This window comes from Homo sapiens, chromosome 5, assembly GCF_000001405.40.
Source record: "Homo sapiens chromosome 5, GRCh38.p14 Primary Assembly".
In the NCBI taxonomy this organism is placed as follows: domain Eukaryota; kingdom Metazoa; phylum Chordata; class Mammalia; order Primates; family Hominidae; genus Homo; species Homo sapiens.
In genome coordinates this window covers 176768730-176785477 of record NC_000005.10, presented here as the reverse complement: position 1 = coordinate 176785477, position 16748 = coordinate 176768730, and the positions used below count along the sequence as shown (strand labels likewise).

Here is a 16748-nt window from a genome sequence, read left to right as displayed (position 1 = left end):
GACTAAGTGAAGGTCACCCAGCCAGATGGAGGCAGGACCGTACTGAAAGCAGCACCTCTCCCCGAGGGCAGGGGGGGTCCATTTTCCTCCCGAATCACTGGCCTCCCCACCTACATTTCCTGAGGGCCCGTGCCTGAGCCAGACCCAGTGTGGAGCCCAAGAGGGAAGGAAAAGCACCTGGCTTTGGCCTCATTAGAAGGCAAGCCCCTGGGAGCCAAGACGGCCTCTGCCCGCTTCACGCTGCGTCTCGGCCCCCCTAAGAGGGCCAGATTCAGGTGCGCCCTTGGGCAATGCTTGACTCTCACAAAGCCAGTCTGGGGGGCTTTGGAGCAGCAGCCCTGAATCCCCTATGAGAAAGTGAGTGTCCTTTTCACCTCCTGGCCATCTGGGGCAACCCCAGGAAGACACGGAAGCCAGCAGCAGCTTCCCAGCACAGTGGAGATCGCGTCTGCCAGAGGGGCAGGTGTCAGACTCTGAGTCTGGAGAGGCACCGCGGGTAAGGGGTCTGTCCCTGTAGGTCCCAGACAGGGCTTCTTCTCCCGAGCAGCAACAAGCTGCGCTTCGGGCCATGGACCCCAGCTTCTCCCTCTGCCTGCCCGCAGGGCTGCCCATCGGCTCTGCAGGGGAGGAAACCTGCCCTCTGTGACCCCATAACCTGCTCCCCAGGCCCAAGTCCAGCCAGTCTCCTCCACCCCACATCCCCCACTCCTCCCTGGGACTCCTCCCCCAGCAGCAGCCTTCCTCTCTGCTTGGCACTCACTGCCTTCTGTGCTTCCAGCGCCCCCCAACTCCCTCCCCAAGTAGGGGACAGCTGTTGTTTTTTCCTGCAGGCATCGTCCTGCTCAGTGGGACTCCTCCTCCCCCTTGCTCAGTCCCTGAGCTTTGGAAGAAGCTGCTCGCTCACTCAGAGGGGTGGGCACATACCCTATGTCTGGCCAATCAGTAGAGCCCATCACCCTGGTTACTGAGAGTGGTTTGAAGCTGTTCAGGTAAAGTCGAATCAAGGCAAATCCTGGGATTGTAAGAAGGCCCTAGCCTTTTACTGGAATTGCTGAGCTGGGGTGGGGGTGAACCTGACGTTGCCAAAGACTAGAGAATGCAGCTGACTCAGGAGGTCAGACCTCAGATGGAGCTTCAGCTTCCTGATGACTCACTGGCACCTGGATCCTGCCATGCCTGAAGTCATTGGCCAGGAATATTTATTTATTTATTTATTTATTTATTTATTTTTGAGACAGAGTCTCACTCTGTTGCCCAGGCTGGAGTGCAATGACGCGATCTCGGCTCACTGCAACCTCCGCCTCCTGGGTTCAAGTGATTCTCCTGCCTCAGCCTTCTGCGTAGCTAGGATTACAGGCACGCGCCACCATGCCCAGCTAATTTTTGTATTTTTAGTAGAGACGGGGTTTCACCATGTTGGTCAGGCTGGTCTTGAACTCCTGACCTTGTGATCCACCCACCTCGGCCTCCCAAAGTGCTGGAATTACAGGCGTGAGCCACTGTGCCCAGCCATACATATGTATGTATGTATGTATGTATGTATTTTGAGACAGAGTCTCTGTCTCCCAGGCTGGAGTGCAGTGGTGCAATCTCAGCTCACTGTAGCCTTGGCTTCCCAGGCTCAGGGGAACCTCCCACCTCAGCATCCCTAGTAGCTGGGACTATGAATGCACACCTCCGTGCCCAGCTAATTTTTGGATTTTTTTGTAAAGATGGGTTTTGCTATGTTGCCCAGGCTGGTCCAAACTCCTGAGCTCAAGCAATCTGTCTGTCTTGGCCTCCAAAGTGCTGGGATTACAGGCGTGAGCCACTCGCCTGGATTGTGATTATAATAATTATTTCAGCATTTATATTTTGCCTCGTCCAGTCTGAGTTTAGTTTCTGTCTCTCACAACCAAAAGGTTCTAATGTGGCCAGACCTCCTGTTTAGGGACCCAGCTCACAGGGTAATGGCCTCTCCCCAGTTCCTTCCCACTGAGGAGGCCCAGAACCTGCCTGGGCCTGAGTCTCTCGCCTCTGTGAATTTACTCCCTCTATAAGCAAAGGGCTAGATCTTTTTGCTCTGTTCAGGCTCTGCTGTCTGTTGCTCTGGGGACATTGCATTAAGCAGAAGGGTCCGAGTCACTCTGACCAGGCCTCTGAAGGTCCATATCATGACTTTTCCCCAGACACTGGCTCCCAAGAAAGTGAGCAGGAATCGAGCCAATAGAGTCAGGTCTACAGTTTTATGTTTTCAGTGGTGAATGTTGTTTGCACATACATTCCAATATTAGATGGCACATTGGGCTATTGAAAACGAAAAGGGCCAGGCGCGGTGGCTCACACCTGTAGTCCCAACACTTTGGGAGGCCCAGCAGTTGGATGGCTTGAGCCCAGGAGTTTGAGACCAGCCTGGGCAACATGGTGAGACCCTGTCTCTACAAAAATAAAAACTAAAAAATTAGCTGGGCATAGTGGTGTGTGCTTGTAGTCTCAGCTACTTAGCGGCTGAGGTGGGAGAATTGCTTGAGCCCAGGAGTTCAAGACTGCAAGGAGCTTGAACCACTGCATTCCAGCCTGGGCAACAGAGGGAGATCTTGTCACACACACACACACACACACACACACACACACACAAAGATAAGAAAAGAAAATGAAATGGGAAATGAGGAACAAGTGTATGGTGGCCCCTGCCCCGTGGTGGCCTCAGCATCTGTCCTCCTCTTCCTGGGTACTTTTTCCCTGGAACCACCCCTCTCGGGGATCACGGACTGGGACAGACACCTAGCCAAGGCTTGGCCACCCAGAGCGTGCCATCCCTGATACAGTGATGTCCGGGAGGACACCTGTCCCTGGCCAGGCAAGAGGACTCCATTCTGGGACATTGATCATATCTGTGAAGAATGAGGCCCTGTCTTTCCTGTGGGGCTGCTTGACCTGTATGATGTAAAGCTGGAGCTGCTGGGAACCTCCATGGTGAAAGAGGCTGTCAAAGAATGAAGCCAATGCATGGGAAACAGCAGGATGTGGTGGGGAGCAGAGCCCCAATAACAGTGCTTTTACGCCTGAATCCAGCTGTGCCTCATGCTGTGGTTCATGCCCTTGAATTTCCCAGTTCCCTGTTTTCTTGAGCCAGTTTGAGTTGGGTTTTTGACTCTTTCAAACAATAAAGTACTAATGTAGGAAAGGATTTGAAATTAGTCATTTTTTAAAAATGATGACATTTTACAGGATGCCAAAGTCGTTTATGAATGTTAGAGTACACAAGATTTTAAAAACAGGATGTAACAGACTATGAGAGAAGACGGGCCCCTCCCCTCTGTGCAGGCCAGACTCTGAGAAGCCAGGGGAGATAGGATGGTACTCTCACCTTGCCTCTTTGGTACACGCCGTAACTAAGGTGATGGACGGCTTCCAGCTACATTTGCAGGTGGCTATGTTTGACTTTGTTGACTGGCTCAGGTTTCCCCTCCCTTTCCTGTCAGAGGTAAAAACAGGGGGCACCTTCAGTTAGCGGAAGCTGGGAGGCTGACCTGCCATCCATCCCACCGCCATGGCCAGAGAAGAAGACAGTGGGGGCTTCCGGCAGAGCAGGAGCCATGCGTCAGGACCCCTAAGCCATCCTTCCTGCTCTTGGGGTCTCCAGGTGCAGCGCACAGGCCGCATCCTGCACCACTCCAGGGAGCGCCATCCCATAGACCATGATGGGAATGTCCTCCTCACTGAGCATTTAACACGGGCACCCTGCCTATTACCAGCCCACTCCGGAACACTAGTTGGCAAAGATTTCAAGCTGGAAGACCCGCTACTCAAGAAAATAATTACTGTCAGGGCCCAAGTTGTCGGTAAATTGATTCTAGAGTTCTGTTTCCCTCTATTTCCCCTTTCCACACAAAAGAAACAAGACACAGATGGCTTTGAAAATTTCTCCAAAGGAAATTGCCAAAGATCCTTAACCTTCTACATTCTTCTCTCTCTCTCTCTCTCTCATTCTTTCATTCTCTCCCTTTCCCTCTCTCTCTCCCTCCTGCATCACTTAGACTCTGTGTCGCTCCCCAGCTCCAAGACCCTCGATGGCAACCTACTGCCAAGTGAATGGAATCCAGAGTTTCTGCCCTGATCAAAATGCTTTCTGGGCTCCATGTCCCTGCATCTCTTTCTGGAGCCTGTCTTACTATTCCAGGCACTCAGCTGCTCACAGCTCCCCAAGCACGTCCGACAATTGCCTGTCGAGCTCGCTCTGCTCTGTCCCCTGGAATGCCCCCCTGGCCGACAGCCACCATTCATCCGTCTCCCAACACGTGCCGGCCATGTCACTCCTCGCGTCTCCTGGGTGATATACCCGTCCCTGCCCATTCTAGGAATAGGCAAACAAGCTCTCAGAGAGGTCAGGCGAGTCGCCCAAGGTCACGTAATAATAGGAAGAGGGTCAAGAGTCCACACCCCTGTGTCTGGCTCCAAGCCCAGACCCCTTTCCCAGCTCCAAGAGCCCTGTTCCCCTTCCTGCTCATGGAGACACTGTAGATGCCACACACAGAGCCCTCCGTCCTGAAGAATGCCTGTGCCTCCCTGTACAAGCTGATCAGCAGCTGTTTTTTTTTTTTTCTTATGATCATATCCCGTGTATCAGGCGGGTTTCTGGCAGGAGATGGAAGGCTGCTCAGCTGGGATTTGAGGAGAGCTTAATGAAGGGTCTAATTACATAGGTGCAGGCAGGGCTATAAGAGAAGCCACAGGGGTGTGGAAGCACCAGGGACAAGCCACCCAGAATGCCACTGTGTTGTGACCTTGGCTGGAAGTAGAAGAGCATTCAGACGACACAGCTACTGTTAGAACCACAACCCAGGTGGGGACAGAGTGGGGAAGAGATGCCCCGGCCCCTCCTTCCACCTTCCAGTTTCCTGTGGGTGCTACCCATTGGCTGGCCCCAACTGTAAGCCACAGCACCGAGGAGCCTGGTTTGCAGTCAAGGAAGGTCAGCCTTCCAGGCTCAGAGCCAGAGAGAGAAGGGCTGGGGGGCACTGGAGTGGGGAGGGTGCTGTATTTGCTTCCACTTGCTGCCATAACAATACCACAAACTCGGTGGCTTAGAAAAGCACACGTTTCTTATCCCGCCGTTCTGGAGACCAAGTCCAAAATGCATCTCACTGGGCTACCATCAGGGCGTCGGCAGGCTTGCATTCCTTCTAGAGGCTCCAGGGGAGGATCTGTTTCCTTGACTCTTCCTGCCTCTGGAAGCTGCCTGCCTTCCCTGGCTCGTGGCCACTTCCCTCTTTAAAGCCAGCCATGGCCAGCTGAGTCCTGCAACACCGTCTCCCTGGTTCTGACTCTTCTCTGCTTCCCTCTTCCCCACTTAAGGACCCTGTGATACTGTGGCCCCACCCAGATAATCCAGCGTTATCTTAGTTTAAGGTAAATTGATTAACAGCCTTAATTCCATCTGCAACCTGAATCCTCCCTTTCCTTGTAGCCAACATATTCACAGGTTCCAGGAATTAGGACATGGACACTTTGGAAGGGGGCATTATTCTGCCTGTCACAGGTGCCACACGGAGAACAATGGGCCCACCTGCCTTATGTTCTGGGGTCTGGGTTAGTTCTCCTACTGTGGAGGCTTCTTGAGGACAGGAACTGTTTGGGTTGTCTACTGCTGTGTAACAACGCACCCCAACATTTCAGCGACTTGACGCAACAGCTATTGCTCATCATGCGTGCATCTGTGGATCAGCTTGTGCCCAGCTGACTGGGGCGGGGCTGCTGGCTATCTCTGCGTCTCACTGTGGGTCATGAGTTTCTCATCTTCCTTGGACCAGTGGGCCAGCTGGTGGGATCTTCCCAGGCAATGACAAAGGCCCACAGCAAAGGTGAGAGAAAACACACGGTACCTCCTGAGGTGTGCTTCTGAGCTGTCACTTCCACTCATCTGCCACTGGCCGACGCAAGTTCCATGGCCAAGTTCAAAGTGCAATCTACCTTCCACAAGGCTGTGGCAAGGATGAATGCGGGGAGAGTGAAAAATGGGGGGCACAATTCAGTTCAGGGGCAGCACCTTAATCACATTTGTTTTCTGTGCTGTACCAAAACATTGCTTTTTACGGAGTTGTGCATGGAAATATGTAAGTGAATGAATGAATGAATGAGTTCTTACCAGTAGAACATACTCAGCCAGGCTCCGAGTGTCTCCTACTGTGGTGGAGATGGGCTTTACGCTCTCGCTTTGGTTCTCTGCTGGAGGTTATAGCTGGCAGAGCACGAACACCCCGACACTATGTCTCCTGCACGCTGGGAAACAGCTCGCAACTCTGGAGGGAGAACAGGCCAGGAGCTTGCCTCCCTTCTAGGGAGCATCTGGAGTGCTGTGGAGTGCCTGGGAGGCTGCAACTCCTGCAGATGAGTGGGCACCATGCCATCAATACCATCTCTGCTACCTCCACTGTTTCACTCCCTCCTTCAGAAGTCTCTGCTCCCTGAGTTCCTGCCTATGGAACTGGGCCCACACTGCTTAAGGCTGCCACTGAGGCAGAGCTGAGAAGACCCTGCCCTGCTGTCAAGATGCTTATGGTCTCCCAAGGACACAGGACTCCACAAGCAAGAACAAGATGGATGCTTTAGGAGAATCTATGAATGGAGTGTGGGAGGAGCAACCCAGGAGGACTACATGAAAGAAGCAGCATTGGAGCCGAGGCTAGAAGGGTTTGCCAGGCAGACAAGTGGAGATGGGACCCTTCCAGGGGCCAGCGTAGATGGCACAGATGAACATATAGCCCATATGTGCACGGACTGCTCTGGGAACTAAAGTAGTTCATTATTGCTGGAGAGTAACGTGTGTGTGTATTTGGGGAGGGGTGGCCAGGGGTGGTGAGAGTGTGTGATGGATGAGAAAGCAGAAGCCTCATTGCCAAGGTTGTTTCCTGCAAGATGAAGGGGTTAAATTTCTTAACTAAGCCAGAGGCTGACAAACATCTTCTATAAAGGACAGGATAGTCTAGGCAAGGTGGCTCACACCTGTAATCCCAGCACTTTGGGAGGCTGAGGCAGGCAGATCACCTGAGGTCGGGAGTTTGAGACCAGCCTGATCAACATGGTGAAACCTCATCTCTACTAAAAATACAAAATTAGCTGGGCGTGGTGGTACATGCCTGTAATCCCAGCTACTTGGGAGGCTGAGGCAGGAGAATTGCTTGAACCCGGGAGGCGGAGGTTGTGGTGAGCTGAGATCGCACCATTGCACTCCAGCCTGGGCAACAAGCGTGAAACTCCGTCTCAAAAAAAAAAAAAAAAAAAAAAGACAGGATAATAAATATTTTAGGTTTTGCAGTCTCTGCTGAACCTTCTCACTGCCACTGTGGAGTGCAGGTGTAGTCAGTATGTAAGTGAGTGAGCGCGGCTCTGTTCCAATAAAACTTTATTTGTAAAAACAGGTGGTAGGCCAGATTTGGGCTGTGGGCTATAGTTTGTTGATCCTTGCTGTAAGCCCAAAATCACAGACTGGCAGCCTTCCAGCCAATTTTGTCCCACAGATTTTTGTTTTCTTTTGTATTTTTAGCCAACATTAAAAGATGAGGTGATTTCATGATTTCACATACAAATCTAGATTTCCAGGTTCTTTAGAGAGTCTGAAGCTCAGGCTTGCAATCCCACGCGGCAACAACCAGCTGGAGCCGGCTTCCACTGGGCTATGGGCTCTCCAGTTTGCCAGAGTCCCCACCGCTCCCTATTGCCACCCAGATACCATTCCCTGGCTGTGCTAATGTTCCGCTTGGTGTCCTCCCCACCCCTCACCGCATTAATTTCCCAGGGCTGCCTAGTAACAACGTACCACAAACTAGGGGGCTAAAAGACAGAAATGTGAAGTTCAGGATCTAGGCATCAGGGTTGGTTCCTTCTGAAGGCTGTGAGGGGGAGTCTGTTCCACGCCTCTGCTCTTGATTCTGGCAGCCTCAGGCATTGTTGTAGATGGTATTCTCCCTGTGGTCTGACATGATCTGCCCCTGTGTTTGTCTGTCTTGTCCAAATTCTCCTTTTTTATAGATACCAGTCACATTGTATCGGGGCCGCCTTAGTCACCTCGCCTTAACTTGATGACTTCTGGAAGGACCCTGTCTCCAAATAAGGTCACCTGCTGAGGTGCTAGGGCTTAGAACTCTAGCCTACCTTTTTTGGGGGCACAGTTCAATTCAACCTGTCACACTCACCCAGTCCCTTCACTGCCTTATATTTCCTTCCTGGATCCCACCACTAGTAGCGAGGACCCAGCCACATGTCCCCGGCACAGTCAGATCTGCCTGTCACAAAGATTTTGCAGGTGACAGCACAGAGAACATATTTGGATGGGGCAGGGCCTGGCCCCAGGAGCATGGGGTGGGGGCGGGGGCCCTGGACAGGAGGTGTCAGGGTCAGGAGGGACCGAGGAGAAGATCCTCAGGCTTGGTGCAATGTTGGACACGGGGAGAGGAAGGCGAATGCCTGGGTCTCAGGCTTGAGAGAACAGATGGACAGTTGTGCTTTTGTTTGTTTGTCTGTTTGTTTGAGACGGAGTCTCGCTCTGTTGCCCAGGCTAGAGTGCAGTGGGGTGATCTTGGCTCACTGTGACCTTTGCCTCCTGGGTTCAAGTGATTCTCCTGCCTCAGCCTCCCAAGTAGCTGGGATTACAGGCACCCACCATCAAGCGCAGCTGATTTTTGTATTTTTAGTAGAGACGCGGTTTTACCATGTTGGCCAGGCTGGCCTCGAACGCCTGACCTCAGGTGATCTGCCCACCTTGGCCTCCCAAAGTGCTAGGATTACAGGCGTGAGCCACGGTGCCCAGCCGCAGTTGTGCTATTGCTGAAGGAGCGAGCACATTTTAGTGGAGGTTTTGTACAGGGCGGAAACTGCAGACTGAGCTGGGAGAGAAGACACAAAACTGTGCTCCCAGAATTTCCACGGGGAGAGACCTGGGCCCAGGCTGACCGGAAAGAAGATGGGGGTTAGGGAAGTTCCCCAGACAGGAGGACTCAGGGCAGCCACAGAAGAGGGGGAAGGGCTGATTGGACCACCTCAGCAACACAGAGTCAGGGGTAGCTTGATTTATTGGTCTCGATTTTTTACCCCTCTCTGTATCCATACCCTTTGCAGTTTCTCCCCCGAGGAGCTGCATGTTCCCCTCGACCTTTAACTTTGGGTATAACCATAAGACACGGCCTGGCACCCCACTGGTCCAAGAAAAATGAGAAACACAATGGAGCAGAGCCAGACCCAACCGCCCTCCCAGCGCAGCCCAGGCTGGGCTGCCAACATCCAGGCAGTCTGCACACGTAGGAGTCACATACACCCGGTCCCTGACTTACGATTTTTCAACTTTACAATGATGCAAAGCCATGCATGCTCAGTAGAAACTACTCTGGCTTTTTGAGACGGAGTTGCGCTGTTGTTGCTCAGGCTGGAGTGCAGTGGTGCTATCTCGGCTCACCTCAACCTCCGCCTCCCAGGTTCAAGTGATTCTCCTGCCTCAGCCTTCCAAGTAGCTGGGATTACAGGGATGCGCCATCACACCCGGCTAATTTTTGTATTTTTAGCAGAGACGGGTTTTCTCTATGTTGGTCAGGCTGGTCTTGAACCCCCGACCTTAGGTGATCCACCCTCCTTGGCCTCCCAAAGTGCTGGGATTACAGGCGTGAGCCAAAGCGCCCAGCCCCCAATTTTCACATTTGGTATAGTGTTCAATAAATTACATGAACTATCTGACACATTATTATAAAACAGGCTTTGTTTTAGATGTTGCTGCCCAACGTAGGCTGATAGAAACCTTCTGAGCACGTTTAAGCTAGGCCAGGCTAAGCTACGATGTTTGCCAGGATAGGAGAATCAAGTGCATTTTCCACCTACGAGATTTCTAACTTTCTGTGGGTTTATCAGGATGTGACTCCATCTTACGTCAGGCACATCTACGAAGTTTATTGCCGTTTGCCTCTGAGAGTTTGTGGTTGTTTGCTACATAGCAACAGCTGACTGACACACAGCCAAATTGTACCCTTTTACAGATGAGGAAACTGAGGCCTTAGAAGGTAAGAGGCTTGCCCAGTGATTTACAAATAATAAGCAGCAGAGATCCAGGTGTCCCGATCCCTAACCCAAGAGTCTTTCTTTCTACTCCATGACAGCGACCGTCACCCAGCTTCTGGTTTGTTCGTTCATTCATTCATTCATTCATTCATTTAATAAACACGTGTTCCTGGAGAGACGTAGATGACTTGGGTTTATTCTCAGCCCTCAAAAAGCTCTGTGTGGTGTTGGTGGGAAGACGGGCCTCAAACGAACCACGAGGAATGTGGCAAGAGGTAACAGAGATGTGCTTAGGCACCAAGAAGAGTCAAGGAACCCAGCTCGAGGAAACCAGGACAGGCTTCCTGGAGGATGGGGTGTCTGAGCTGAGTCATCATGAATGAGAAGGAGCTGACCAGCAAACTGAGGAGGAGGGAGGTTGGCGTGAGTGTGGGCTGGAATTGAGGCACAGCGTGGGACTAGTGTGTGGGGCTATGGGCAGGCGGGAGCAGCCGCCAACCAAGGTCAAGTCCGCTTGAGCTGTCCCAGCCATTCAGGTGAGGCAGGGAATGACAGGAGATGGGCTGGAGAAGGGGGGCAGGGCTCACATCCAGGCCTTTATCTCTTGGAAGGAGCTCAACCCCTTTCACAGCAGGTGATTGGGGGCCCTTGGGGATGTGGCCTCGGACAAATGAACTCGTTTGCTGCGCCACAGTTTGCCCATCCCTAAAACCAGGTGCTGGACAAGCTGGCCTTCAGGGGCCCCTCCAGCCCTAAAGCCACTGTGGGGGCCTCACCAGGGGTGGGCACGCCACACAGGAGGTTATCTGTCCCGGCAGCCGATCCAGGCCCAGAGGGGAGAAGAGAAGCCCCCTCTGCCCGTGGGTGGCGACCCTTCCTTCCACCTTCGAGCAGCAGGGAACGTCTCTCTTAGCCAAAGGCTGGTCAAGAACAGGAAGAACGAGGACACATTAGACATTCGACATTAAATATAGGACTATCCAGATGGGGGAAATGACTTTCTGTTTCCCTTCCTCTTCTCCTCACGGAGGGAACATGGGGGAGGCTGGGATTAGTCATTGACGCGAGGGGGGCTGGCCAGCTCCAAAGAGCCCCGTCCTCGCACCCTGCCTCAGAGCCCAGACAGAGACCACCTGAAGGAAAAACAGGCGCCTAACACAAGAACCCCCTATTTGACAGGAGAGGGGCAAGCCAGCCAGGCTGGCAGGAAAATTCCAGGTAATTGATGTTATTTTCCCATTGACTATGTTCTGCCAGAAAAGATTTCAGTTACAGGGTGTCATCAAATCACACTGAAGAATCCTACTAAAAGACTACTTTTATAACGAGGAAAAAAAATGTACTTTTAAAGAGGAGTCTGTGGTATAACCTCCTCAGAGGGCAATTTGGCGATGCCTTTAACACCGTGAAATGCGCACACTCTGATGTGACAATTCCACTTGTGGGAACTGGCCTCGCAAGCGTGTTTGCACAGGCACGCACACACCTGTGCGGGGAAGATGCCCTTTGCAGCACTGTCTGTGGAAGCGGATGACTGGAAGCGACCCCAGCATCACCAGTGAGGCGTTCGGGGCCAATGAACAGGATACCCCATAGGCTGGAATACTATGCAAGCATTCAGAAGACCGTGGCCACTGCCTACGGGAAAGATTTCCAAGCAACAGTGTTCAACAAAAAAGAAGCAAGAGGAAGGCCTCTTTCCTTGGACACAGCCTGCTCTGTGTATGCAGAAAGCAAGGAGGACAGCTGTACAGAGACGGGCAGGAGCTCTGTTTCTTGCAGCGACCATAACAAATGACCATGCACTTGGTGGCCTCAGACAGCACAGATGTATCCTCTCTCTGGAGGTCAGAACTCTACCATCAAAGTGTCAGCAGGGCCATGCACCCTCTGAAGGCTCTACTTTCTTCTTCTTTGAGATGAAGTCTTGCTTTGTTGCCCAGGCTGGAGAGCAACGGCTTGATCTCGGCTCACTGCAACCTCCACCTCCTGTGTTCAAGAGATTCTCCTCCCTCAGCCTCCTGATATCTGGGATTACAGGCGCGTGCCACCATGCCCAGCTATTTTTTTTTTTTTTTTTTTTTTTTTGTATTTTTAGTAGAGACGGGGTTTCACCATGTTGGCCAGGCTGGTCTCCAACTCCTGACCTCAGGTGATCCACCCACCTCGGCCTCCCAAAGTGCTGGGATTACAGGTCTGAGCCACCACGCCTGGCCAAGGAGGCTCTACTTTCCTGTGTCAACTTGACTGGGCCACAGGGTGCTCAGTTATTTGGTCAAACTTTCTTCCAGGTGTTTCTGTGAGAGTGTTTGGGATGAGGGTAACATTGGAATTGGCTGACTGCATTGAGCAGACTGTCTCTCTAATGTGGGTGGGCCTCATCTGCTTGGCTGAAGGTCCTTACAGAACTAAAAGTGTGTCCAGAGTTGCTTCCTTCTGGTGGGTTGGTGGTCTCGCTGACTTCAAGAACAGAGCCACAGAACTTCACGGTGAGTGTTGCAGCTCTTAAAGATGGCACAGACCCAAAGAGTGAGCAGCAGCAAGATTTACTGTGAAGAGCAAAAGAACAAAGCTTCCACAGCATGGAATCCCTGATCGGGTGGCCGCTGCTGGCTGGGGCATGGCCAGCTTTTATTCCCTTATTTGTCCCCGCCCATGTCCTGCTGATTGGTCCATTTTACAGAGTGCTGATTGGTCCATTTTACAAACCTCTAGCTACAGAGTGCTGATTGGTGCATTTCTATACAGCACTGATTGGTGCATTTTACAAACTTCTAGATAGCTACAGAGCGCTGATTGGTGTGTTTTTACAGAGCACTGATCGGTGAATTTTACAAACCTCTTGTGAGACAAAAAAGTTCTCCAAGTCCCCACTCGACCCAGGAAGGCCAGCTGGCTTCACATCTCAAAAGGCTGACCCTTCCCCCGCCGCAAGTGAGAGGATTCCTCCTTCTTGTCTACTCCAAACTGGAGTGTCAGCTTATTTTTTTCTGCCTTCAAACTTGACCTGAAACTTTGGCTCTTCCCGAGTGCTGAGCTTGCTGGCCCTTGGTCTGGAACTAAACCATCAGCTCTCCTGGGTCTCCAGCCTGCCAACCCACCCTGCAGATTTTGGGACTTTACCCAACTCCGTGATCCCATGAGCCAGTTCGTGTGTGTGTGTGTGTGTGTGTGTGTGTGTGGTTTATAATGTAGAGTTCTCTGTTCCTCTGGAGAACTCTGATCAATGCAGGAAGAGTCTGTTCACTGCCTCTTCCAGCTTCCATTGGCTGCTGGCATCCCTCGGCTTGTGGCCGTATCACTCCAAGCTCTGCTTCTGTGGCCACATTGCCTCCTCCTCTTCTTTGTATGCCTATTTTATAAGGGTATGACAGTCAGTGGACTTAGGGATCACTCAGATAAGCCAGGATAATTTCCTCATCTCAGGATTCTGACTTAGTTACATTTGCAAAGACTTTTTTTTTTTCAAATAAGGTCATATTCACAGGTTCCAGAGATTTGGACATAGTCTCATCTTTTAGGGGGCCACCACGGCCCTACTTCAGATCCCAGCTCCATGAGAGTGAGGAGCCCTCTGGGAAGGGAGACAACAGTCCAGGGGGTCTGGTGAGCAGGAAACTTGTTTTTCATGGTAACCCTTTCTGCAGTGTTCGGCTTCTTTCCCATAAACATGTATTACCTCTTTTCACAAAACTCAAACAATCAGCAGTAATGCAGCTAGCCAACTTTTTAAGCACCTTAAAAGGCCTTCTGTACACATCATTTGACTACAAGCTGGCTGCCCTTCTGAGAGTCCCTGACTGGAGTGTCCCGCTCCCCAGGGCAGGGTGGTCCTAAACGTGTTTTGGAGCTGGACCCAGAGAAGAACATGCCTACGGGGTCTTCAATCCATATTCAAATAAAAAATGGTAACTTTCTGATTCACTAAGCATTTGACTCAAGATAGTCACAACATTGCAGCGTACTCAAAGCAGGTTACACACTTACATTCTGCATCATGAGAATATCTTTTCTAGTGTTGTCCATGCAATAGAAATAGCTTCCAATGTAGAAACAACAACCCACAGTCAGAGGCCAAAGGCGTCTTGGCAGGATGGGCTGCAGCTTGGTTCCCATGTAACCCAGGCAGGGTGGGCTGCAGCTTGGTTCCCATGTAACCCAGGCAGGGTGGGCTGCAGGTTGGTTCCCATGTAACCCAGGCTGGGTGGGCTGTAGCTTGGTTCCCATGTAACCCAGGCAGGGTTCTTTGAAGGCAAACACACTTTTGCTCACACATTCAATGTGTCGGAGTTGTCTCTGCTTCCTTAAGAAGCGGTTTCTCTCCCCTCTTTTCTCTCTCTCACCTGGGTTTGTTTGTCCATGAGAGGGGCTTGGATAAGTATATTTCTTTCTTCTCTATCTCTCTCTCTCTCTCTTTTTTTTTTTTTTTTTTTGAGATGGAGTTTTGCTCTTGTTGCCCAGGCTGGAGTGCAGTGGCGCCATCTTGGCTCACTGCAACCTCCACCTCCTGGGTTCAAGGGATTCTCCTGTCTCAGCCTCCCGAGTAGCTGGGATTACAGGCATGCGCCTCCACACCCAGATAATTTTTTATATTTTTAGTACAGAAGGGGTTTTTCCATGTTGGTCAGGGTGGTCTCGAACTCCTCAACCTCAGGTGATCCACCCTCCTTGGCCTCCTAAAGTGCTGGGATTACAGGCATGAGCCACCGCGCCCTGCTTTTTCTTCTTAAATCACCAAAAGAAAAGGATCTGGGAAAATCTGACAATAAATGGCAACTGGCACTGTCCTCAGGGTGGGGAGATGTTGAGGAGTGGTGGGGACTGTGACAAAGAGTTCAGCGCATGCCTCGTCTAAGGGACGGCCACTCTGGAATACGTGCCCATGGATGCCACAGCTTCTGGTTTTTCAGGAGAAGCTTAGCATTCAAATTTTAATGTAAACCCTTCCAATAATTTAGTGTAGGAAACTGATTTAAATCTTTTCAAACTGCTGTGTAGGCCAAATAAAATGCACTCTGGTCGGATTTCGCCTGCAGCCCTCATGTTCAAACCTCCCTCCTAATGCGTTAGTGCTTTAAGTTGCTGACCAGCCTTGAGCTATGTTTTCACCTCTACTTTCATATCAAAGCAAATCCTTATTTATTTATTTTTTTCATTTTTTCTCAATTCTTCAACTAACAGCTTCATGTGGTAGTAACCAAGCGGCCAAGGCAGTGTCCTGGGACGGGGATTCGTAGCCTGGGGAGATACAAGCAGGAAAATGGGCTCCGCTCAACTGGGCAGGTGGGAGATCTGTCCGGCATTGGCTGGAGGGGCAGCGGCTGCTCCCTGGCTAGCTGCCTGGTTGTTTTGGACATTTGCTTGTGTAGACTGTTCTGTTCTCAACCTAATGATGCCATTTTTAGTGACTCATTAGGATCCTCATTAAGCGTTGTTAGCACATCAAAACAACGTTGGTGAGGGCTGGCAGAGGGCGGCTTCCTGGACATTAGCTGTTGTCTGAATTTCCCTGGCAGCAAGGAAGGGACAAAATGGCAATGCACAGATTCCCAAATGCGTCAGTTCAGAGGGTGCTGTTTCTTTGGCAAGCACTTATTGAGCACCTACTGTGTGTATGCATGGGCATACAGTGGCTTCCTCTGGTACCAGAATGAAATGCAAAATCATGATGTCCCACCCTCTCCCTGGCTCATCCACTCCAGCTATGCTGACCTTTCTGCTCCTCCAATGCACTGCCTAGGCCCTGAGGCCTAGGCACTTGCTGTGCCCCTTTTGGTATGCTCTTCCCAGGCCTCAGCCCCAAATATCCCATTTCTGGAGAGACGGCCCCTGACTCCCTGTCTGCTGCTGACAAACCCTCACCCGTTACCCTCCAATCCACTGTCCTATTTTATTCACTACATGATTATTGTACTTATGTGCTTACTAGTTTACTGTCTGTCTCCCTCCACCAGAACATCAGCTGCACAAGGGCAGGGACCTGGTCTGCTGGGTCTCCAGCCCCCACAAGAGTGCCTGGCACATAATAGGTGCTCAATTAATACAGGTTGGTGCAAAAGTAATTGCCACTTTTGCCATTGAAAGTAATAACAAAAACAGCAATCACTTTTGCACCAACCTGGGTTTTTTTTTTTTTTCTTATTTTGAGACAAAGTTTCACTCTTGTTACCCAGGCTGGAGTGCAATGGCGTGATCTGGGCTCACAGCAATCTCCACCTCCTGGGTTCAAGTGATTCTCCTGCCTCAGCATCCCAAGTAGCTGGGATTACGGGCATGTACCACCACTCCCAGCTAATTTCAATTTTTTAGTAGAGACGGGGTTTCACCACATTGGTCAGGCTGGTCTCGAACTCCTGACCTCAAGTGATCCGCCCACCTCAACCTCCCATAGTGCTGGCATTATAGGAGTGAACCACTGTGCCCGGCCCAACCTGTTTAACAAATACAAAACAATGAAAAAATAGCCCATCCTCTCAGCCCAGGGTCACAGATGATCTGGTATGCCCTGTACACCCCCCATTGTGCATCTCCGAGCAGTACAGCTTGTGGCTTTATTAAAGAAATCTGAGATCATTCTGAAGGAAAGATAGCATGAGATAACGTGTTAATTTCTTTAGTTCACAATTCCCTTCAGCAAAGAATACCTGTGCAGGAGCCCTGGCCCTGGCCCCTGCCTCTCCCCGACTCTGGTCAGCGCCTGGAGCGAGCCTCAGGTGCTGTTGGCA

The 16748-nt window shown here is 51.2% G+C and overlaps 1 annotated feature.

Annotated features, from left to right (window-relative positions):
- Nucleotides 139-732: an enhancer, noted in NCBI's record as "H3K27ac-H3K4me1 hESC enhancer chr5:176211747-176212340 (GRCh37/hg19 assembly coordinates)". NCBI's record gives its function as "activates a minimal SCP1, AML or CMV promoter by ChIP-STARR-seq in naive H9 embryonic stem cells {active_cell/tissue: H9 hESC(naive)}" and the evidence as "EXISTENCE:reporter gene assay evidence [ECO:0000049][PMID:30033119]".